Genomic DNA, 25,477 nt, shown 5'->3' on the forward strand with positions numbered 1-25,477 from the left:
TCCATACTATTCCAAGCAATATACAGATTAAACACAATTCCTATTAAAATCCTGATCACATTCTTCACAGGAATAGAAAAAACTAATCCTAAAATTAACGTGGAAACATAAAAGACTCCAAATAGCTAAAATAATTCTGAAAAGAAAAAATAAATTTCGAGGCATCACATTTCCTGATTTAAAACTATAGTACAAAGCTATAGTAGTCAGAACAGTATGGTACTGAGCTAAAAGCCATCACATAGACCAGTAGAACAGAATAGAGATCTCAGAAATAAATCCAACCATATATGGTAAACTAATTTTTGAAAAGGGCATCAAGAGGACACAACTGGGAAAGGATAGTCTCTTCAATAAATGGTACTGAGAAAATGGGATTTCCACATGCAGAAAAACAAAGAAACACTTCACCCACAAAAATCAACTTATAATGGATAAAAGACTTAACTGTAAGACCAGAAACTACAAAGCCTCCAGAATAAAACATAGGGGAAAATCTCCTGGATATTGGCAATTCAAGACCAGATATAAGACCAGAAACTATAAAACCTCCAGAATAAAACATAGGGGAAAATCTCCTGGACACTGGCAATTCAAGGAAGACCAAAGGTACACCAAAGTATTCGTATTATTGGGTAAATTCGTGAGTAATTCTTAGAAGGATTTATACCTAAAGGCAAAAATCCAATCACATTTAAGTCACCGAAAGTTGAATTTTGCCTCTCATCCCCTTTTCCCCTTTATAAGCTATAACACATTAGTATAAACCCACAAAAAGCCTACATGTGGAGTCTAATCACTGACTATTATAGATTATTTTACACTAACTGGAAATTAAGAAGTAGCACTTATAAAATGAATATTATATTCAATAAGAATACATAATTATAGTTCTAAATTTATAGTTATAATTCTCATTTTGAATTTTTTTAGTATCACATGATTGGAGTTTTAAAAATAGTTTTTGGCCTCCATCCTACTCTAATAGATAACTTCTAAATTTCTAGTTATACTTCTATCTAAAATTCTGTTGATTCTGGCTGGGCATGGTGGCTCACACCTGTAATCCCAGCACTTTGGGAGGTGGAGGTGGGTGGATTACTCGAGATCAGGAGTTTGAGACCAGGCTGGCCAAGATGGTGAAATCTGGTCTCTACTAAAAATGCAAAAATTAGCTGGGTGTGTTGGTGGACACCTGTAATTCTAGCTACTCGGGAGGCTGAGGCAGGAGAATCGCTTGAACCTGAGAGGCAGAGGTTGCGGTGGGTCGAGATGGCACCACTACACTCCAGTCTGGGCGACAGAGCAAGACTCCCTCTCAAAAAAAAAATCTGTTGATTCTGTAGCTAGTAATAATAAAATTCTATGATTAATATCAGTTGACCTACCTAATACATAGTCACCAAACCCAATGATGCTTAAGGTCAATGCAAAATATAATCCTTTCTTATAAGTCCAGCCCACTGTATGCACGAAAGTTAATAGTGGTAGCAGGATGAAAATGAGAAGTCCAGAAGAAGAAGAGTCTGTAAATTTTTACTTGTTTCTAGAAAAAAGGAAGGGAAGGGAAGGGGGAAAGGAAGGAAGAAGGGAAGGAGGAAAGCAAGGAGGAGGGGAAAGGAAGAAGGAAGGGAGGGGGAGGGAGGGAGGGAAGGAGGGAAGATAGATGTTAATATTAATCTAACTAAACCAACATTTCCCCTTTACAAATCTGTTTAAGAGCTTACTGGGTGTCTCCTACCACACTCTGACAGGCAGACTTCCCTTGAATGTGGGAGTATTTCCTTGCTCCACCTGCTGAATTAACTTCTTCCTTGTGAATATCTATTGCTGACCCTTTATTTCATTTCTCCCTCTTCATGCGTTTTGTTGCACTTTACATTTAAAACCTGCCCTTCCTTCCCATCCTCTGTGTGTCTCAGACTATAGTATTCTTTTGTTTTGTGACCTGCTCACTCTCACCTCAAGCTCTGGGTCCCACTGGCTGAGTCCAAAAAGGTAGGAGGAACAATCGTCATCTGGAAGTTCTGGACATCAATTTATAAACTAATTGTGTTTTGTTCAGAGACATTTCAAAATCTGAAATTTTGAGAGAAAATAAATGTATTTTCCAATCTAAAAATTGAATATTTCATTTACAATTCTATATCCTATTAACTGATTAAATGCTTTTCATGATGAAATTCAAATTCTTAACAATGCAATATACTACCTCTTCATTCATTCATTCATTTACTCAAAAAGCATTTATTGAGCTTTTCCTATTAGTTCCATGAGAGATACTCAAGATACAAAGAAAAAAACTAGTTTGTCTACAGAGAGATTACAGTTTTATTGGAGGAAAGGAGGAGAGACAGAGAGGGAAACCAATATTACAAATAACATGTCTTTTAAGCTTTTGTTTGTAGAATATCTCATATGGGACAGACACTATGCTAAGAGCATTATATAATTCTAAAATGTATTATGATAAAGGGACATCATGTAAATAGTTCCTTGAATTTTAGCGCTTATTGTAATTATTATATTGGATTGTGGAATTTGAACTACTTTCTAAATTTGGTAGGATATGGAGCTGATATTATGAAATTCTATGTGCTCTGTTGTTGGTCTAGAAGTTTGAAAATGGATACTCATGATCAACTTTAGAGACATTCCAATCAAGTACTGCTTGATGTACCTGTAGCAGAAGACAGCAGAATTAGAAGAAGGTGAAAGAAATAGAAAGCTGATTATTAGCATGTATTATGGACCTTTTAAGAAGCTTGGAAATAAGGGACAATTGATATTGATACTTTCATTTTCTGTGGGAGGGTCAGAAAACGTAGGATTTTCAGAATGGCAAATAAACATTGGCTTCAACTTAAAGTCACCAGCTTCATTAGCCTCTAATAAGAGAGTTAGTCTGTCTTTTGAAGCTTTGAAGCCAGGCATTGACTTCTCCTCTCTTGCTATGAAAGTCCTAGATAACATCTTTCAATGTAAGATTGTTTCACCTGCAATTAAAATCTATTGTGTCACCACCTTCATCAATGATCTTAGCTTGATCTTCTGGATAACTTGCTATGGCTTCTTGATCAGCACTTACTGCTTCACCATGCACTCACGTTATAGAGACAGCTTCTTTCCTTAAACCTCATGAAGCATCCTCTGCTAGCATCAAACTTTCTCTTGCAGCTTCCTTACCTTTCTCAGCCTTCACAGAATTGAAAAGAGTTAGAGCCTTGCTCAGGCTTAAGGGAATGATGTGGCTGGTTGGATCTTCTATCCAGACCACTAAAATTTTCTCCATATCAGCAATAAGTCTGTTTCATTTTCTCATCATTTGTGGATTCAGTGGAGTAGCACTTTTCATTTCCTTTAAGAACTTTTCCTTTGCATTCATGACTTGGCTGTTTGATGCAAGAGGTCTAGATTTCAGCCTATCTCAGCTTTCAACATGCCGTCCTCACTAAAATCCTTTCTAGCTTTTGACTTAAAGTGAGAGACGTGAAACTCTTCTTTCACTTGGATGCTTAGGGGTCTTTGTGAGGTTATTAATTGGCCTAATTTCAATACTGTTGTGTTTCAAGGAATAGAGAGGCCCGAGGAGAGGGTGAGAGATGGGAAAATGGGTGGTCAGTAGAACAGTTAGAACGCATACAACATTATCAATTAAGGTCATTGTCTTATTTGGTCATGGTTGGTGGCACCTCAAAACCATTACAACAGTAACATCAAAGATCACTGATCACACATCACCATAATAGATATAATGATAATGAAAAAGCTTGAAATATTGTGAGAATTAAAATATAACACAGAAACAGTAAGTGAGCACATGCTGTTGGAAAAATGAGGCCAACAGACTTGCTCCACGGGTTGCCACAAACCTTCAATGTGTAAAAAACACAATTATCTGTGAAGTGCAGCAACATGCAGTAAAGTGAGGTATGCCTGTACTCTCCCAAGAGTTTCTTTTTCTGGACTTTACTTCCTTAGATTGAGGAAGTAACACCAGCCAGAGTCTGCTTCGACTCAGCAATGCTCTTTCCTGAGAAGGCCTGGGGCAGCTTGCTTAGACCAGGCCTGTCTAGACATCAAGCTGGTCTTTTAATATCACTCTTAAGCCAGCGAGTATGAGCTCAGAGGGGAAGGGAAAGGAGTGTCCTGCCTCGGTTGGCCACTCACACTGGATTAATGTAAGCACAAGGGATTGTTGCCAAAGTGCAGCCTGGTTCACAGGAATACACAGACACAAAGCCTCATGGTAACAAGCACAAACATTTTGCCTGGCCTTGTCTCCTCTGTGTATCTCCTTGTGGGATACCTGGAATATCAGGAGTGGACTATCTGTCCAAGTCATTTCTCTTTATTTCACTTTGCCCCAAATAAACACGTATTTTCCTGTAAGACTTCCAAACAGCCTCTACTAATCATATACTACAGTATAAGAAATCATATGTTAAGAAAGTGAAACAGCCTACAATCTATCACCTTAAATAATTGCTTGCCCTTAGCAGTGTTGACAGAGCATTGTGAGATAACAGAGCTCAGAGCCTAGGAACAGAAGAAATGAATTCAAGTTGATAACTTTCTCCTAGAAGATCTAGATGTTAGATTTGCCCATACCTCATAGAATTGTTCAAATAATCAATAAAATGGTTTTGAAACTGCATTTATGCTATAATACTCTATAAGTATTCTTTGAAATAATATTCTTATTGTCTGAAGAAGAAAAATCACTACATATAATATTTTGGTCTGAATACCCTTTTGAGCTAGGAGTTCCAAAAATATAGGGCAAGCATTTTAACATAGTATTTTAACACATACCATTTTAATATAGAATTTCTATTTGTGTAATGAAGTTCCAATAAATCAGTTGTTATATATGTTTTACATATAGGCCCGTGTCCTGGATACCAGAGAGGTACACATATAGTGGAGTAACAAACAGCACATCAAATATATATTGAGGGGACCACATATATACCTACACATATATGTACATATATATATGTATTTAGCAAGAATTTATTAGGTGTTGTATGTATATTTTAAGTAAGGTTGTGAACTCAAGTATATATAAGAAAACAAAATTATTAGTAAACATTACCTCTTCCATTCCCATATTCTGAAGGTATTTCCAAAGTCCTGAAAATGGTGGTGACACTGCCTTGCTCACAAAATTCAGGAATATGATAATTTGAGGGATCCTCAACAAGGCACAGAAAATACAGAGTATCTGACCAGTAGGAATTCTGGGAGCAATTGACTTGTAACCTGATGGATGCTAGGAGACAAATGCTCAATATGACTACTCCTTGGAACATGTGCTTTTGGTGCATTGTTTTATTTGGTGCATAATATTTTGTTATGACAGCCCCGGCAGCACACACAGCATTTAAGATCTTATGATCTTAAATGTATGATCCAGCCACTTTACACCCAGGAATTTCTCCTAAGGAAATGACCAGAAAAGTGAGAAAGATGGAAGTATATCACTGAAGCATTATTTGTGAGTGAAAAATTGGAACTAACATAAGTGTCTAACATTACAAGGAATTTACTGAGTAAAATGAAATGATAAAATACTTTTCAATCTTTAAGAACTGCAGTGTGAAAGTATATTCAATGATATGGAAAATTAATAATCATACATTGCTGAATTTTAAAAAGGCTTATGTTGTGTGTTCAGCTATAACCATTCATAACACCTATTTATGGGAAAAAGAAAAATGAAAAAAATGCTATTTAGCACATAGTCAAGCTTGAATAATCCTTTCTGTTACTGTTGGATGAGCCAATCCCTATTACTGCATCTAATTTTAATTTACACATATTGGTATTTGCTGCCTTAGGCACAGCACAAAATTTAACAAAGTCTTGTTTCTCTAAATTGTGAATTTGGGGTTGCTTTTGTCTAAACATATTACACACACACATAATGATGACGTAAAGAAATCTGTCCCTTCGTGCTTATGGCCCTTAAGTTCAATTTTTATTTTCAATGATATAAAAAGGAAAAAAGAATGCAACATCACAAAACAGAAAAAGAAAAAAGAACGCTATGCCAGAGTCTCACAGTTGTTCATGAGATTTGCACAAAAGTTCCCTTGGCTGCCTGTGGTCATATTTTAGACAGCCTGGCAATGTCAAAGCCATTTCAACAAATGAGAAGCTCATGGCCATTTGAAGTCATTTCTAAACTCATCATATAAATTCACAGTTTGCCTTAACTCCCATTTGGTTAAGAGAAAACAATTTGTTTTAAGAATAAAAGAAAAATAGGCTTATTGACTGTTTTCGGGACTGCAAAATAAGGGCTATCTCCATTCCTCAGGATAGTTGGTATTTTAATTCTATTAGGAGATAAAAATCGCAGAACATCAAAGAGAGTGGTCAAACGGTTTCACCTCCCTTAATTCTCTATTAAACAAGACCTTTGACCGCTGCGTAACTGCCTAAAGCTAGGATCCTTCAACTGCCCTGGCTCACAGCTGGAGTGGCTCACTGGGACAGGGGAGGAGATGACAAAATGCAGGCCCACCATTCAGCCAGGCCTCTGTGAGCACCACCAGGCTCTGCACCGAGGGAGATAGGAGTCAGATCTCCATGTTCCTTTCTTCAAGGCAGAAACCACAGGTCATGGAGATATCCAGTCCCAAAACTCTTACCTTATGTGGGCCCCTGGATTCCAAGATTCTCCCGATTCTTTAACCAAAATATTACAAGCAAATGAGAATGATTTCTAAACAAATAGGATCATTTTGTTGGGAAGTTTGTAGGCATCACATTCACCTCCATAAGCGAGAACATGCAGGCTATTTTTAATAAGGGAAAATAGATCTGAGCATGCCATACTCAGAAACAGCAGTTATTACTTATTAAACTCCTATGTTGCCAGGAGAAGGAAAATTCCGTGGCAGTGCCGGAGGTCTCTGACAGTCTAAACTGGTGTTTTCCAGGAACCTCCTGAGTGTCTTCCACAGCCACTACCTTAAACTATGCTGACTGTTTTTGTAAACCCTAATGGTTCTCAGTTGATAACAAAATATGCTAGAATTGTCTGAAGTTTAGTAGAAACCTATAGTAACTTTTTGTTTTTGAATCACAAAATTCTCTAGGTAAGCTCTAGCTAAATTCCAGAGAAACTTGTGGACATTACAGTTCTATCAGGAGTCCTGGGGAGTCTGGCTAGTCTGGCTTTGCCACTTATCCCAGTACGTTGGGAAACTAGGTAGAAATACCACTGCTGAGTCTACCTACTAAAGGGAAAAGGTGCACAGAATTTGTTATGGAAGAGACAAATGATCAAAAATTCAAAATAAGAGAGAAGCTGCATATACTATTGAGATGCCATCTTAAAAATACAAGCAGGGTCTGGATTTCCAGGATGAAGGAGTTATGGCTCATGTAGATAAAGTTTCATGTTACTTTAAAAAATTTAAATGATTGGCATCATTTAAAACATTTTTTTAAAAAAGTAAACTAAAAATAAGACTTCTCTTTTGGCCCTCAAAAAATTAATTAGAGATATGCCCTGCTCTGTAATTTTCCCCTCACCTATAACTATCTTACTCCTTTGCATTCTCTTGCTGTTGTCTTTCTGTCTTCTGCCAGTATCGGGACTTATCTTTTATTTATTCTCATCAAATGAAGGAAAAACTGGTGCTATTATTTATATACATTTAGGAAAATACATAGGACACCAATCTATACAATCTTTTATCTACAGCACTCTTTCAACACAGACAGCAAATTTAAAACTCCAAAACAAAGCCCCTTCATCTCTTACCTGTAAAGATTTCAACTTCTGTAGTTGTGTCAGCATAAGCTGCTTTGGCCTCTCAAATGGAATTGTTCAGCACTTCATGAATGTCTGTCTCCAAAATTTGAAATATTTTTGCCCCCATCAAGTAATAGCTCACAAAAGCCATCATCAGTATGCATTTAGAGGTTTAAGAAACAAACAATTCTATTAGAAAATCAAATAGCAGTGGAATGAGAGGCATAGGAAGCTAAATTGCTTTAATTTAAAATGTCTCCACCCCTAAAACCAAACAGTAAACAACAAAAATAGTCTTCTGCCCATCAATAAAACAACAGTCTTGTGATTTACCAAATATATACAATATATCCCAAAATATTCATGACAAAATAAAATTTGAACTTCAATTGTGTTCTGACATGAAATAGCCTGGAATGTAAAAATGCAGGGGGGAAAATCTGTTTCTGGGGAATGTTATTAACAGTTAACTTATAAGTAAGAGGAGGAATGTGGTCAAGTACCACTGTTTATACTGGCCTTTTAGAAGCAGGTGAGTCCAAGACAGCTTATTCCTGGGGAAATGTTTACTGCAGATTTAAAATGTATATTATTAATTAGTTTGCCCAATCAAATGAATTTGGATGGATTATCTATCCTGAAGTCTCTTTTTCCAATCCTCACTTCCCATTACTCTCTGTGCTGCTCAGCATGAGCAAATAAAAACTTTTTACTTGTCAAAAGGTAACCATTATCTTGATGAGACCTGGCTGTAATATTAAGACAAAGAAGCCAAATAATTGTCTTGATTTTCAAGGCTACAGTAGCCAAAACAACATGGTACTGGTACAAAAACAGACACATAGACCAATGTAACAGAATAGAGAACTCAGAAATAAAACTGCACATCTCCAACCCTGTGATCTTTGACAAACCTGACAAAAACACGGGAAAGGATACCCTATAATAAATGGGTATCCATTTATTAAATAATGATAAACTGGCTAGCCATATGTGGAAAATTGAAACTGAGGGCTGGGAGAACTGGCTAGCCATATGTAGAAAATTGAAACTGAACCCCTTCCTTACACCTTATACAAAAATTTGCTTAAGATAGATTAAAGACTTAAATATAAAACCCAAAAATATAAAAACCCTAGAAGAAAATCTAGGTAATACCATTCAGGACATAGTCATGGGCAATGATTTTATTATGAAATCACCAAAAGCAATTGCAACAAAAGCAAAAATTGACAAATGGGATCTAATTAAACTAAAGAGCTTCTGCACAGCAAAAGAAACTATCCTCAGAGTGAACAATCTACGGGATGGAAAAAAATTTTTGCAATCTATCCATCTGACAATGGTCTAGTATCCAGAATCTGCAAGGAACTTAAGCAAATTTACAAGAAGTAACCCCATTAAAAAGTGGGCAAAGGACATGAACAGACACTTCTCAAAAAAAGACATTTATGTGGCCAAAAACATAAAAAAGTTCAACATCACTAATCTCCTGCCAGTCAGAATGGCAGATACCATCTCCTGCCAGTCAGAATGGTAATTATTAAAAAGTAAAGAAACAACAGATTTTGGTGAGGTGGTGGAGAAATAGGAACACTTTCACACTGTTGGTGTAGATGTAAATTAGTTCAACCACTGTAGAAGACACTGTGGAAATTCCTCAAAGATTTAGAACTGGGAATACCATTTGACCCAGCAATCCCATTACTGGGTATATACCCAAAGGAATAGAAATAATTCTATTATAAAGATACATGCACGCGTATGTTCATTGCAGCTCTATTCACAATAGCAAAGACATGGAATCAACTCAAATGCCCACCAATGATAGACTGGATAAAGAAAATGTGGTATATATACACCATGGAATACTATGCAGCCATAAAAAGGAATGAGAGCATGTCCTTTGCAAAGACATGGATGAAGCTGGAAGCCATTATTCTCAAACTAACGCAGGAACAGAAAACCAAACACCAAATGTTCTCACTTGTAAGTGGGAGCTGAACAATGAGAACACATGGACACAGGAGGGGAACAACACACACTGGGGCCTGTCAGGGGAGGGTGGGGTCAGGAGAGAGCATCAGGAAAAATAGCTAATGCATGCTGGGCTTACTTACCAAGGTGATGGGTTGATAGGTGCAGCAAACCACCATGGCACACATTTACCTATGTAACAAACCTGTACATCCTGCACCTATACCCTGGACCTTAAAATAAAATAAAATAAAAATTGTCTTTTTTTCCAAACAAATTCTTTGGAGATATCCTTGATTTTTATATAGCTGTCCCGTCAGATCAAATCTACCTGCCTACCAACCTCTTCCATCAGAAACTGAATTAGCTCTCAAGAGTACAAGCTGTCGGCACTATGGGAAAATTTTGTTATTGTGTGACTTATAACTAAAAATAATTCTTATACTTTGGAAATGCCAAAATAATCACAATTCAGAACTCTTCCTCAAATAGGTATATATATATAGGTCAATATTTGAATTAAAGCAAATACTTTAAAATACACCAATATATAGATGGATTACCTACATAAATTTCTATGTGTGTTTTCTTCAAAGAAAAAATTAATTTCCCTATGCATAGATAGTTCAACTTGTTAAAACAATAAAAGTGAGCATTTTAATTTCCTTCCAGATTTGTAGAACAATTATATTATTTACTAGCCTATGCTTAAAGAATAATATTAGTTTCCAAAAGCAAAGGGACCTAAGTTAAGTATTAATAGAACATATGAGATTCATTTTCATTTTTATTGTACTCTATGGCTAAGGAAAGTAATAAAAAAATTCTAAGATTCACCAAAAGCATATGAAAACATAAAATGTATTCAGTGATTTGTCAAGAAGCATTTCTTTATATTATTAGGAGTGAAAACAGCCCCAGAAAAGTCCTCACCCAAGAATAGACCAGAGCTTATTGAGGTAGGCTTTCACCCAGATAGAAGGACATCTTAAAGCAGTCCTACCTCTAACGAAATGTTCCTGTATCTTCCTTCCCCTCCATGGTACATTTAGGCAGTAGCCCATCAGCATCTGAGCGGTGTTGTAGAACCCTTTTAAATGATCTCATGTCAACCTCACTGTTCTTTCTGGAACCTTGAGAGCGGCTAATTCTACAGACAGACCTCTTTTAATAGTTTCAATATATTAGTTTCTTATTAGTGCTATAATAAATTCTCACAACCTTAGTGTCTTGAAACAACACAAATTTATAATTACATTTCTGGAAGTCATAAATTCAAAATGCTCTCAGTGATCCAAAGTCAAGGTGTCGGAAAGTATGTTCTTTCAGGAGCCTCTGGGGAAAAATGTTTCCTTGCCTTTTGTAGTTTATAGAAGCCATCTGTATTCCTTGGCCCATGCCTCTTCCTCTATCTACTGAGTTGGCAAAGTTGGTAGGGTATCATCTTCAAATCTTCAAAAAAGCTGACTCCTCTGCCTCTCCCTTTCACTTATAAGGAGCTTTGTGCATACACTGCATCCACCCTGCTAATACAGAGTAACCTCCCCATCTCAAGTCAGCTGATCTTACTTTGTCCCTTCCCAAGTGACACGACAAATCCACAGGTTCCTGGGATTAGACATAAACATATTTGGCGGGGCATGGTGGCTCACCCCTGTAATCCCAGCACTTTGGGAGGCCAAGGCAGGCAGATCACCTGAGGTCAGGAGTTCAAGACCAGCCTGGCCAAGATGGCAAATACTGTCTCTACTAAAAATAAAAAAATTAGCTGGGCATGGTGGCGCACACCTGTAATCCCAGCTACTCAGGAGGCTGAGGCAGGAGAATCGCTTGAACCCAGGAGGCGGAGGTTGCAGTGGGCCGAGATCACGCCATTGCACTCCAGCCTGGGTGCTAGAGCAAGACTCCATCTCAAAAAAGGAAAAAAAGAAAAGAAAAGGAAGGGAAGGGGAGAGGAGGGGTAAAGGGAGGGGAGGGAAGGGGTGAAGGGAGGGTTGTGTGATCTTAAGCAAACCACTTAATTTTTCCCTGCTTCAGTTGTCATCTGTAGTGGTGATGGTTTGAATCACAGCCCTGCCACTTGTGATCTTGCAAGTTTTTAACCTCTATAAGCTTTGGTTTCCTTTGCAGAGAGAACAAAAAGGATAATAATAACTAACTCATAGGTTGTGAAGATTAAACAAAACAATACAGTTAGAAATCTTGGCTCAAATTAGGGACTTAATAAATGTAACTGGTTTTTGGGACCATGTAAATTATTAGTATAGGGTCTGTTATATAGTAGGTGGCCACTAAATTCAAACAAGAACTATTAATAAGTAGTAACCAGTATTAATCATATTAATCATTATTTTTAACATAGGTCTTGCATCTTATTTATCTTGTTATTTCCCACAATAATTTTATAGTGATATATAGTGATCATATATCACTATTTATATTATATATAGGTAGGTAATATATGTCTGCTATATATGTTAGTCAGAATTTATTTGGTTAAAAGTGATATAAACCCATCTTAAATTTTCTTAAAAACAGACAATTTACCAGCCAACACATTTTTAAACTCTAGGCATGGATGACCATTGAAGCAGATGCTGTTGGTACTTGCCCAAAAAACTACCTCTCTGTCTGAGAGCTTTTATCTGGCTTTGGGGACAGGCCCAGGCACAAAGAAGGGCAGGGCAGAAGTGTCAGAGAGTTAATGCCCCTGAAAGCAGCCATAAATCGATACGGGGAGTTGATGAATAACTTCTCTAGGCTCCTCACCTCTCAGAGGGAATGACTCTGAAACCTGTCCTACACTGTCCCACCAAGTTTCTTCTGTGGGATTGAGCCCCAGTTGCCCACCATATCAACATGCTTGAAATTACATTTTTATTGTCTTCCTTTACTTCTCAGTCTCCTTTCCCCACTCTCTTACCAGTATTTCCTGGGTTCACCTCCAAAATACATTGCTGGCACTCAAATTTATAACACTGCCCCAATACTTAGGCAGCACCCACCTCCCAGATACTGCTCTTAAATGATGTCAAAACCAGGTCTTAATAAGGCATTCTACCTTAGTCTTAGGGGAGGCAAATAATCGATTTAATTGTGGTGTCCTTCTTGGACATTAGGAATCTATTAGGAATCTTGAAAGAGTCAAGTGAAGAATGCTGGAGAGGTGGGAGTGGAGATTTTTCCCTGGAGCTGGGGCAGGGGTAATCTTCCAAGGAACATGTGGAATTCTGCAGCAAGAGCCATCACATACAGCCTGGGGAGGTTGTCCATAACCTAACTCCAGAGCCTACCATTTACAGAGACCCTGGGATGAAGGGTAACCCCTGGAGTTGTGCTGTGCCCCATCTGCATCTATATATGGAGGCCCTCTCTGTAGCTAGCCCTCAGATCCTGATATAAAAATGAGCATTTGAGAAGGGAGCTCACCAGGAGCATTGTTAATAATAACAAGAAATTAGAACGACTTACATGTTCATCAATAAGGTGTTGGTTAGTAAATGGAATCTCTAGCAAACTTTTTTAAAAATTTATTTTTTACTTTTGTGGGTACATAGTAGGTATATATATTTATGGGGTACATGAAATGTTTTGATACAAGCATGCAATGAGAAATAATCACATCACAGAGAATGGGGTATCCATCACCTCAAGCATTTATCTTTTGTGTTACAAATAATCCAATTACACTCTTTGTTATTTTAAAATGTATAATTAATTTATTGTTGACTATAGTCACTGTGTTGTGCTATCAAATAGTAGATCTTATTCATTCTATTTTATTTTTGTACCCATTAGTCATCTCCAGCCTCCCACTACCCTTCCCAGCCTCTGGAAACCATCCTTCTACTCTCTGTGTCAATGAGTTCAATTGTTTTGATTTTTAGATCTCACAAATATCTAGCTAACTTTGTAAAAGGTGATAAATCTATATATGACTTAGAAAGAGATATGGCTATGTAAAACAGAAAAGGAAGGGTATAAAAATGTGCTGATTTTATGTTTACATTTGTGTTTAAATGGATCAGCAAGTATGTTTTCTTATTGACTCAAAGTGATTGCATCTAAAATATGATAACAAGACAGGATTCTCACTGCCGTATCTCCCGATGCCAATCTCCAAGGTAAGAGGCCCTTTAAAACCTTAATGTAGGCTTCCAGTAGGCTACCTGTCATTTGTCTAACTCAGGTCTGGAATCATGCCACCCTGTTTTTGCAACCAGATATGATAGACACAGTTTTTGATAAGCAAAGATCAATATGCTAGCTAAGATTAAATATAAATGCAAAATGTTGAGTGTATCTTACCATATGAAATGAGATATAGCTTCTTCTGTTTTGTGAAGTTGGCTAGGAATTAGGATCACATTTGCAGAATAACTGATGCAAAATTTCCAAATTCTCCAGAACCGTGTATCTGTCTGCCAGCTCTGATTTACCATCTTTAGTGGACTTAGAGGCTAGATATGATTACTCAGTTAGGGGCTTGTTCTATACACAGTGGAATCCTTGACACAGGACTCATTTTGATTATCTTCTTTCTATGTTTGAATTGGTGACCCCCTCCCCAGTTGTACTCCATCTGTGGCCAAGCAAGTCTCAAGTCTAGTTTGAATCATCTGTCAGACTGTGTCTTTTCATTCCTTTGTGAATGGAGAGGTCAAGGATTCAAGAAAGTACCTATCCATACTTCAGCATATTTGCTGTGCCTGTAAAGATTATGGATCCTCCAAAATAAAATTTGGTGAACCAATCATGATTTTGGTTGGTCATTTTTAGGAGTGAACTTGACATACAAGGGAGAAGGTTAATCAAAATTCAATAGATTTCTTATTTTAACTGTATGATAAAACAACAAAGCCCTCAAGAAAAAAATCTAGCTGAGAAGTTGTAAGGGCTGTCACCTGAATCTAAAAGATTTGCCGAAGTTCTTAAGCAAAAATGTGAAGCTGATCCAGCCAAATGCCAAACAGCTGCTTTATACATACAATTGGAACAATGTCGGTTTGTTCAAGATGCAACAGAAAAGGTTGATATTTAGATTTCAAAATTAAAAAGTGAAAATGTGAATTTCAAAATTGAAAAGTGAAAAATGATATAGGATACATATAACTAATGAAGACATGAAAAATTCCATGTTCATTAGTTATATGTATCCTATATCATTTTTAACAGTTCGTACTTAACATGTATGTTAATGCTGTTTGAAAAAAATAAGGTTTTGAGTTTTCTAAAAGAACTCTAAACTTAGAACTCTAAATTTGTAGATTTAATATAAACCATTTGGGCTTTTAAATGGCATTTGAAGGCCTCCATGCTTTAAAAACTGTTTGGAAAAGATACCTTCCAAGCAATCAATTAAAATACTTGAGAATATAAAGCTTCCATTTATAAAAGGAGTGAAAACAAATATTTTTTCCAAACTTCTGTTTGAGAGAATACGTATAAATGTTTTTTATGAAAAACTTTTTAAAATGTAACATTTTTCAGTTTAAAAATAAGTTCCTAATTGATTCATCTAAGACATTATTATAAATTAAACTCTTAAATTTAAAAAAAAAATTTTATACCAACAAATCAAAGGCAAATATAAATTAAACTTTTTAAATAATACTTTTAGGGCCGGGCGCGGTGGCTCACGCCTGTAATCCCAGCACTTTGGGAGGCTGAGGCGGGCGGATCACGAGGTCAGGAGATCGAGACCATCCCGGCTAAAACGGTGAAACCCCGTCTCTACTAAAAAATACAAAAAATTAGCCGGGCGTAGTGGCGGGCGCCTGTAGTCCCAGCTACTTGGGAGGCTGAGGCAGGAGAATGGCGTGAACCCGGGAGGCGGAGCTTGCAGTGAGCCGAGATCCCACCACTGCACTCCAGCCTGGGCGACAGAGCGAGACTCCGTCTCAAAAAAAAAAAAATAATACTTTTAGTTTTAGATACTTTTGTTTCTCAGTGTAAATTTATACCAAAAAAATTTAATTCCCATGTATTTGGGAATGATAGCATGCCAAAGTGCATTAAGATATCTTACCTATCTTACTTATCTAATTTGGAATATAGGTCAAGGTGCATGTAACAGGGCTCCAAAATAACAGTGTTTTGAATTCGCCAGAAATTATTTCTCTCTTCTCCACCAGTCTGGGAGTAAATAGTGTGATACTAGCTTAGGACATCTACCCCATGAGGTCATTCAGGGACCCAGGCTCCTTCTCTTATTGTTGCACCATCTCTAGTATGCTCCACTGATTCTCATGGTCCATAGTAGCTCACCACCTCATCCACATCATCCACAGTTAAAACAAGGTCGAAAAAATGGGCAGTGTAGGGCACACCTGTTTCACTTTAAGGTCACAAGCCTAAAGTTGTGTACAACAATATCATTTATACCCCTTTGGCCAAAACTTAGTCTCATGGCCACATCTAGATGCAAGGGAGACTGGGATTTGTCAAAAATTCAAAATATCTCTCATAATAGGAGAAGAAAGGAATGGATGTTGGGAAGAAATAACAAGAAGTCTCTTCCACAGACTGCCCCTTTAGCCACCCATAAATATCCAACTACACTTGACCTGCCAAACGAAATTCTTTCCTTTTTCCCACAGGAGATACTCCCAAAGTCCCATCCAGTTATATCATCAGGTTGAAATTCCAGGATCTCTTGGTGATGGGTAGTTATCTCCAAGTGTGGCTCCTGGGGTCAGATCACCTACAGTCTAAGAGAAGGTTCTTTTTCTCCGCCAATGGTGATAGATTTGGCACCAAAAAAAGAAGAGAAGAAACATGACAGTCATTGTTTCCACAGTGGTAAGCAAATCCTTCTGGTCAGAGATTGTGAAGATCCCTGTCCTGGTTATGGAGCAAGTCTCTGGTTCAGCTTTCTATGGAAAACTCCCTGGTATCCATTGCTCCTAGCTCTAGGGGGTAATTCTTTGTCCATCAGCCCCTATGGCCACATCTGAAGGTCATGGGAGAGTTAATGCTCCTTGTGATCTACAAAGCTTGTGCAGCCTGCTTCTTGTTGGAGCGTGTTTACAAATCCAGACGTTGCTAAGAGAAACAAATCCAATATATATAAAATTATAAGTTCATACTTTCCAGTGCCAATCAAACACCAAAGGGTTCTTCCTTTCCTTGTGCCATTTCATGTTTGTACCACCTTTATGCCTCAGTAAGAGTCTTTTTCCCAGCAATATCAATCAACCTATCTATCTATCTCAATTCTAACATTCTAAAATTGAGCAAATAACTTCAAAATTACTCTATCAATACTTCAATACTTCTACTAACAAGAAACCTACTAAGTAATGTTTAGTATTTCTTCATAGTACTTCTTGTCCTTGGAATGTATCTCCCTGAGAGTGTACATCAAAGTAATATATTCAAAAGTCTCTTGTATTAATTTTTTTTATTCTGTGTGGTTATGTTAACATTTTTATACACATTGAGGTTCATTTGTTTTTATTTGTGTTCAATTTTAGGACTTTCTCCATACTTTCTGAGTTATCAGTTACTTTTGATCAACAGAAGTACCGCTAAAGACACATCCCAAAAAAAGATTATCAGGAGAAACTTGATTTCCTTAATCTTTAAGGAGCACTTCTACACTAAAAAAAAAAAAATACTAATAGAGTCCGGGCGCGGTGGCTGACGCCTGTAATCCCAGCACTTTGGGAGGCCAAGGCAGGCGGATCACGAGTTCAGGAGATCGAGACCATCCTGGCTAACACCGTGAAACCCCGTCTCTACTAAAAATACAAAAAATTAGCCAGGCGTGGTGGTGGGCACCTGTAGTCCCAGCTACTCAGGAGGCTGAGGCAGGAGAATGGTGTGAACCCGGGAGGCGGAGCTTGCAGTGAGCCGAGATCGCGCCACTGCACTCCAGCCTGAGCGACAGAGCGAGACTCCGTCTCAAAAAAAAATAAAAATAAAAATAAAAATAAAAAAACAAAAATCCTAATAGAAAAACACACAAAAGACATACACACAAATTAATTTTTAGAAGGCAGAAATAGCCAATGAATATATGAATTAATAGGACCTACTCATTGAACTATTTTGAGAGGAAAGTAAGATACTCCCGCAAAAAATGATAATGATTATGATCATTGTTCTCACAAGTAATCTTAAAACAATGTACCATTTTTCACATTTCAGATTAGACAAGTTTTAAAAAATATTTTTAATAAATGGTAATACATAATATTGGTGACAGTATTAAGAAAACAACTATTCTCATATACTTTTAGTGGAAATGGCAACTTTTATTATATTTTTAGAGGGCAACTTAACAATATGTATCAAAAGTTTGGAAGTTTTACAAACTCTTAGTAACTATATTTTAAGGCAATGATCATAAGAGTATAATCAAATAAATGTGATGAGATACATGTACAATGATGCTTGCATGCCAAAAAATAGAAAAGAGCTAGAAATAAACTAAATGTCTATCTATAAAGAACTGGCTAACTAAATTATGATGCACCCAGCCTGTTTTAATTTACTTTAGACACCCCGAATACTTCAACTGTTTTAAGTTCTTTTCACCACCAGACATTTTTTAAAAATTCTACTTATTCAGTGTAAGAACAAAAAGCCATAAATATTTGACAGTTCCCCCCAAACCATCTTACCCTGGTCCTAGTGAAAGACTCTTATGGTTCCGGGTATGTTTCCCTTCAGAATGGTTGTGTTTTACTCCTCGCAGATCATATAGGTCATTTAGTAAGTCCACAGGCTTCCTCACTTAGAATTATCTAGCAAAAAAGGGCAGGCAGTGTTTTGTCTGCCAGGTAGGATAGAGGTAATGCTTCCTGCAAAAGTCTCAGTAGGTCTGGGGCTCAGAACATTTGTGATATTTCTCCAGATTTCTATCCACTAGAATAGATAGCTTTTTCTTTACCAGTATTTTGTTTCAAGCCTATTGCATCAGAAGGGAAAGGGTCAATATCTCTCTCTGGTGTATATTTCACTGTAAGACCTAGGAAGAGAGGAGCAGGCCAAACTAACATTGGCTCAACTGTTTTATCTAGCATAGGAAGACAAGTCTAATAAATCAGAATATTCCTCAGCCTGCATCCTGCTGACCCTCACAAAGTTATCTTTTAATTCATGAGAATTCTCTTTTTTTTTATTATACTTTAAGTTTTAGGGTACGTGTGCACAACATGCAGGTTAGTTGCATATGTATACATAGTCTTAACACTGAATATAACTACAGCCCATGTTGTTGTATTTTTACGAGAAGAGAAAAAAACATCTGTGGAGGAAAGTTTCCACTTAAAGACAGAATCTTGTTCACCATCATAATCCCAACTCCCACGTTAGAGTGGCACCAACAAAATATTAAAAATTGTCACTACACTATAAAATGGAAACCTACAGAGCTATTGAAAGCCATGATGTAGATATTTTTTGGCATACAAATATACATCTGGTAAATTTTAAAGGTAAACAAGTTACAAACAACTCTTTATAGTATTATTCCATTTATGGAGGATCTCAAGATACACCAACATAATAGCAACATTTATCTGGGATTTTCTTTAAGCTAATAATTTTATTGTTATTTACGTAATCTCAATATTTTTAACCTGGTGGTTTTATTTTTATAATTACTGAGTTTTTTTCTAATTTTAATCATTCTTGACCTATACACCATTTCATCTCATTTTATAGCACTTTACCTCAATGTTTCATCTTATTTGTGTGTTCTTAGCTTATTTTATCCCCATATGGGTAAAGAACGACCAACAACTGTTAGGTTCCGTTCTACCAGCTTGGGAGTACAAAGTAAGTCAGCATCTCTGTTTAGGGCTTCAATTAAATGGTTCGAGTGTACATCTTTCTGACATAAAAACTGTCTCTCTTTCTCAGAGAGACTGCTTCAGTGATACCTCCATATGTCCCTGAGATGCTTTTTATGGTCTAAAGCATCAGATCGGAGCTGGAAACTCAGTGGGGCAGGAACAATTCCTGCCTTAATCCCACCAAGACTCAACACATCAATCCTCCTTGACAAACATTTTCTCCTGCCACTTTCTTTCTTTGGATGATTTTGCATTAATGGTTTATTGCTCTCTCCTGTCATTGGGTCCTGGTGACAGCTACGTGGACCACTCATCCCATTCAATTACTTTGAATATCTGGAAGAAGGGACTAGGATCTGGGCTTCTTCCTCCTCCAGATGCTCTGGGAATTCTCAGGCAAATTATCCCCTCTCCCCCTGAGTGACTCCAAGTCCCTTTCATCTGTATATTTTCTCACAGAAAAAACCATGTCAACTGCCTGGACAAGTCCTTTGTTACATATTTAGCTTTTTTTCTGATTCTAAAAATAATACATTCTCTTAATTAAAAATGTATGCAATAAAGGAATGTCCAGAGGGGAAACAACATTTAAATTATTATTAATTTCAATACACAGAGATAAATGCTACTAATATTTAGATGAATTTCCTTTTATTGTCTTTTATGCATATATCTACACATTTTAAACATATGGAGATTAAATCCAATGTGCATTTACTTAACATTTGCAAGAAATTAACTTTATATGAATATTCAATATATATTCATTAGCATTTATGTTAGAATTTTCTCACATTGTCTTCAAAAATATTTTTAATGCCTGCATAACTTTCCAGTAAATGAAACTACCATAATTTATTTAACTGAATTCTTTTTGCTGGATATTAAGTAGTTTTCTAGTTTTCTATATTATAAATAAAGTTAAAACATTATTGGACATAAATCTTTCTTTTTTCATCTCCAAATATATCCTAGGATGTGTTCACATAATGAAATTTACTGGTCAAGTCTATCTGTAAAACATTCTCCTTTGTGGGAACAGATCATAGAGGAGTTTACCTTTTTATCATCCAATGAACAAAGATGTTGCTTTAGTGTTGACTTTTAAAAAATGTATGGCCTAGCAGTTTGCTCTGGGATACTCTATTAATAGATAGTAATCTATTTTTTTAGCTTTACAGAGTTATAATTGATATACAAAATTCACACACATCTAATGTATATATCCTGATGAGTTTGGACATATGCCATATACCTATGATATCATCACCACTATAAAAGTACTAACCAGAGCTACCACCCCCCAAAATTTCCTGTATCCTTTCATGGGTTTTCTTTTGTTTGTTTTGGTAAGAACATTTAACATGAGATGTATCTTTTAGTTGTTGTTGTGGTTGAACTTTTTTAGATACATAGTCTCACTCTGTTACCCAGGCTGGAGTGCAGTGGCATGATCACAGCTCACTGCAGCCTCAAACTCCTGGACCCAAATGATCCTCCCACCTCAGCCTCCCAAGTAGCTAGGACTACAGATGTGCACTACCATGCCTAACTTCTTAACATATTTTAAGGTGCACAATATCCTATTGTTAAATAGTTACTATGTTGTACAGCAGATCTCTAGAATGTATTCATCTTGCATAACAAACTTTATACCCATTGAAAAACAATTCCTTGTAGAAATCCATTTTTAAAGTGTCTTTTTCAATCCTAAACTTGCTCCTTTTAATGTGAGAACAAAGCATTCAGATTGATATTTTCTTTCATTAAGACCAAACTCTCCCCAAAAGCTTAATCCTTGAATTGTAATCTAAAGGTCAAATAAATTAGTTTCTGGTATAAACCTACATCTGGTTCCACGTCGTGCTTTAGATGATTTCAAGTGAAACACCATCCAGAAGCAGTGACCTCTTTAAAGAAGACATTAAAGCAAGATCTTCATTGCCAGTTCTCAGGATAGATGTGATCTGGGATTTAACAAAGACTTCCATGGAGACTTCCAATGCCTGATGGGCAAAGGTTTCTCCTTGCATAATATGGAAAACCAAACTGTTTTCCCTTCTACACTCATGTCACTCTCAATGCTTCGCTTCTGACACCAGCTGTGTGGGTTTTTTCCTACACCAACCAATTCTCACACTCTAGGTGGGTGTCCTATAATTCAATTTAATTATGACACTAACTATGTGGAGTTCGTGCAGATCCCACAGGTTAAGGGCTTAGTCTCACAAGACTGCCTCTCACTTTAGACACCAATCACAAGAGGTGGGTCCTTGGGTTACCCACGACTTCTGTCTGACTTGACTGCAAATCAGTGCTTCCCACTACTCCATCGTCGTGTTCAATCACTTACTAGAGTGGCTCACAGAACTCAGGAAAACACTTACATTTACTGGTTTATTATAAAGGATATTACAAATAATGCAGACACACAGCCAGATGAAAAGGTACATAAGGTAAGGTATGTGGAAGGGGTGCAGAGGTTGTAAGCCATTTTCCCCATGTTCAGTAAGCCAGAAGCTCTCTGAACCCCATGACTCAGAGATTTTTATGGAGGCTTCATCACATAGGCATGATCTGTTATTAACTCAATATCCAACCCCTCTCTCCTTCCCAGAGGTTAGGGGGTGGGGCTGAAAGTTTCAAGCTTCTAATCATGGACTGGCCTTTCTGATGACCAGCCCCCATCCAGGAGCCCACCAAGAGTTGCTTCATTAGAACAAAAGATGCTCTCATCACCCAGGAAATTCCAAGGGATTAGGAGTTCTGTGTGAGGAACTGAGCTCAGAGACCAAATACAGAACAAAAGATGCACCTAGAGCCCTTATTGCTCAGCAAATTGCAAGAGATTTACAAGTTCTGTGGACCCAGCGTAATGGCTCATGCCCATAATTCCAGCATTTTGGGAAGCCAAGGCAGAAGGCTCGCTTTAGTCCAGGAGTTCAAGACTATCCTGAGCAACATGGCGAGACCTCATTGCTACAAAAAAAAAAAAAAAAAAAACCACGTAAATAGTGGGGCATGGTGGCACACCTGTAGTCCCAGCTACTGGGAGGGCTAAGGAGGGAGGCTCACTTGAACCCAGGAATTTGAGCTTGCAGTGAACTATGATTGCACCACTGTACTCCAGCCTAGGCAACAGAGTGAGACCCTGTCTCAAAATAAATAAATTAATTAAAAGAGTTCTGTGTGCAGAACCAGGGGCAGGGACCAGATATATATTTTGATTATGTCACACTCACCTGTGAACTACTTTGCCAAATATTACTGCTGCCTTCCTCACTCAGGTCTACCCAGCTTTGTTCCCCTGAGTTTTATACATGACAACTTTGGCTCATGTTTGGGAGTCTTAAGAAGTATTAACTCTCATTTTGGAAAACAAAATATTTGCAAACTATGCATCCAACAAAGAACTAATATCCAGGATGTATAAGTGACTTAAACAAAAAAACAACAAGAAAAAAACAAAACCCCATTTAAAAGTGGGCAAAGGTCATAAGGAAACACTTCTCAAAAGACATACAAGCAGCCAACAAACATTTTAAAAATGCTGAACATCACCACTATCAGAGAGATGCAAATCAAAACCACAATAAGATACTCTCTCATACCAGTCCAAATGGCTATGATTAAAAAGCCAAAAAACAACAGACGCTGGCAAGGCTGCAGAGAAGAGGGAAAGCTTATACACTGCTGGTGGGAATGTAAATAAGTTCAGCCAGTGTGGAAAGCAGTTTGGAGATTTCTCAAAGAACTAAAAATAGAACTACCAATCGACCCAGAAATCTCATTACTGGGTGTATACCCAAAGGAAGAGAAATCATTCTACCAAAGGGGCGCATGCACTCACACGTTTATCACAGCACTATCCACAATAGCAAAGATATGGAATCAGTGCTGGATTGGTGGATCAGATAAAGACAATGTGCTACATATACAGCATGGAATATGGAATACTGTGCAGCCATTTAAAAAATGAATGTCCTCTGCAGCAATGTAGATGCAGCTGCAGGCCATTATACTAAGTTAATTAACACAGAAACAGAAAAACAAATACCATATGTTCTCACTTATGAGTGGGCGCTAAACATTGGGACAAATGGACATAAAGATGGCAACAATAGACACTGGGGACTACTGGGGGAGGAGGGAAGTAAGGGGGAAATAGTTGATGAATAGAAGCCCAAACCACAACCTCATACAATATGTCCATGTTACAAACCTGCACATCTACCCCCAAATCTAAAATAAAATAGTTTCCACAAAGAAGTGTAACTCCCATTTTGAGAATTCATTTTGTGATGACTTACTTTAACCAAATAGGTTTTTTTGTTGTTGTTAGCACTCTACAAGCTGTTTTTGAGTACACGTTTAAGCAGCAAACTGCCCCTTGCCCCCAGGAAAAACCTTACATGGAATTTCAATATATGATAAAGATCAAAGCCCCCTACCCCCAGGAAGAACCTTATGTGGAATTCCAATATGTGAAAAAGATCAAAGCTACTCTGGTTGAAACCAGGCAGGGATTTTTTTCCCCTAAAACTTTACTCATCCCTATTCCCAAGCCAAGTGACCCTCAAGTCTTTTCAGAGAACCCCTAAGCTTAAAAGTCATAGGCCTATACCAAACCAAAATCCAGTTTGCTGAAAAGGGAACTGAGAGCAACCATCAAAGTATCCAAGTGTGTAGTGAAGCACTCCCAGGCAACTTAACTTTAAAAAAATAAAAGTCTTAAAAGTTCAATTTGACCAGGCACAGTGGCTCACGCCTTTAATCCCAGCACTTCGGGAGGCCAAGGCAGACAGATCACTTGAGCTCAGGCCTGGCCAATATGGTGCGACCCCATTTCTACTAAAAATACAAAAATTAGCCAGCTGTGGTGACGCATGCCTGTGGTCCCAGCTACTCAGGAGGCTTAGGTGGGAGGATGGCTTGAGCCCAGGAGGCACAGGCTGCAGCGAACCGAGATTGCACCACTGCACTCCAGCTTGGGTGACAGAGTGAGACCCCATCTCAAAAAAAAAAAAAAGTTCAATTTGTTCCATTTTTATAGCTGAAGCTCATGATGAAGCCAACAGCATGGTTATGTTGCAACAGACTTGTTTCATCAAGCACTTTCTTTGTGCCAATTAGCAGAGCTTACCTTGTTCTGGGTGTCTGATAATAATTCTGCTCCTGTTCCATTGGCATGAGTCAGTCAGTGTACCATACTTTACTTGGAATACACAGGAATGGTGAAATAAACATATTTATTTTAAATAAATATTTAAGTTGTGGTGGGCTGGAATTCAGACAGACATAGATTATACTGAAAGATAACACATTATTTACCAAGTGCTCGATGGCTTATGGGGTCACCTACCTTGTTCTATACTTCTAGAAAAAAATGCAGCAAGTTCTCCCAGGCCTGGAATCATTCATTCCTGTTCATTAATATTGTCCTAACCATGCAGTGACTTTCAGTCATCATACTGTGATACATTATGTTCTTTTGTTTGTCAAGTTATTTGTATAGTTTGTATAGTTATTAACATAGAATATACATTATAAGTCAATTCAATTATACTTTAGAACTTAGAGCCAAACCACAAAATATGGAAGCACAGTCTAATATACAAACTAAGATTAGACTATAATGCTCTGGGATTTTTCCTTGGGTTAGTTAGGATAGAAAGTCTCTCTTTAATTTGCATGGTCTTTCTGATTATGCCAGAGAATTCTGAAGCCATCATCTCCTAATTCTTACACATCCTGAATGTGTGTATGAGAAATGAAGACTATAGAGGCCCTCGAGTCTATGCGATTCAAACCTATGCTGTCTTAGACAGCAGACATATAGTTGTCACAACAGGATGAAAGATTGATTAACAGAGTAATTTCAACAGATCCAGTGAGCATGTAAAGTATTTTTTTTTAACTTTTAAGT

At 37.4% G+C, this 25,477-nt stretch overlaps 1 long non-coding RNA gene across 2 annotated transcripts; it reads right to left on the reverse strand.

Annotated features, from left to right (window-relative positions):
• Nucleotides 1–1,445: 1,445 nt before the first annotated feature.
• Nucleotides 1,446–8,348, reverse strand: LOC107984692 (uncharacterized). Of its 2 annotated transcripts, none has more exons than XR_001750786.2 (3): nt 7,781–8,348; nt 1,963–2,079; nt 1,446–1,546 (listed from the first exon to the last, which is right to left on the reverse strand). It is a non-coding gene; the product is annotated as an uncharacterized LOC107984692 (long non-coding RNA). The 2 variants fall into 2 exon arrangements; XR_001750785.2 differs by lacking the exon at nt 7,781–8,348 and adding an exon at nt 5,099–5,185.
• Nucleotides 8,349–25,477: the final 17,129 nt, after the last annotated feature.

This window comes from Homo sapiens, chromosome 14 (assembly GCF_000001405.40).
Source record: "Homo sapiens chromosome 14, GRCh38.p14 Primary Assembly".
Lineage (NCBI taxonomy): Eukaryota > Metazoa > Chordata > Mammalia > Primates > Hominidae > Homo > Homo sapiens.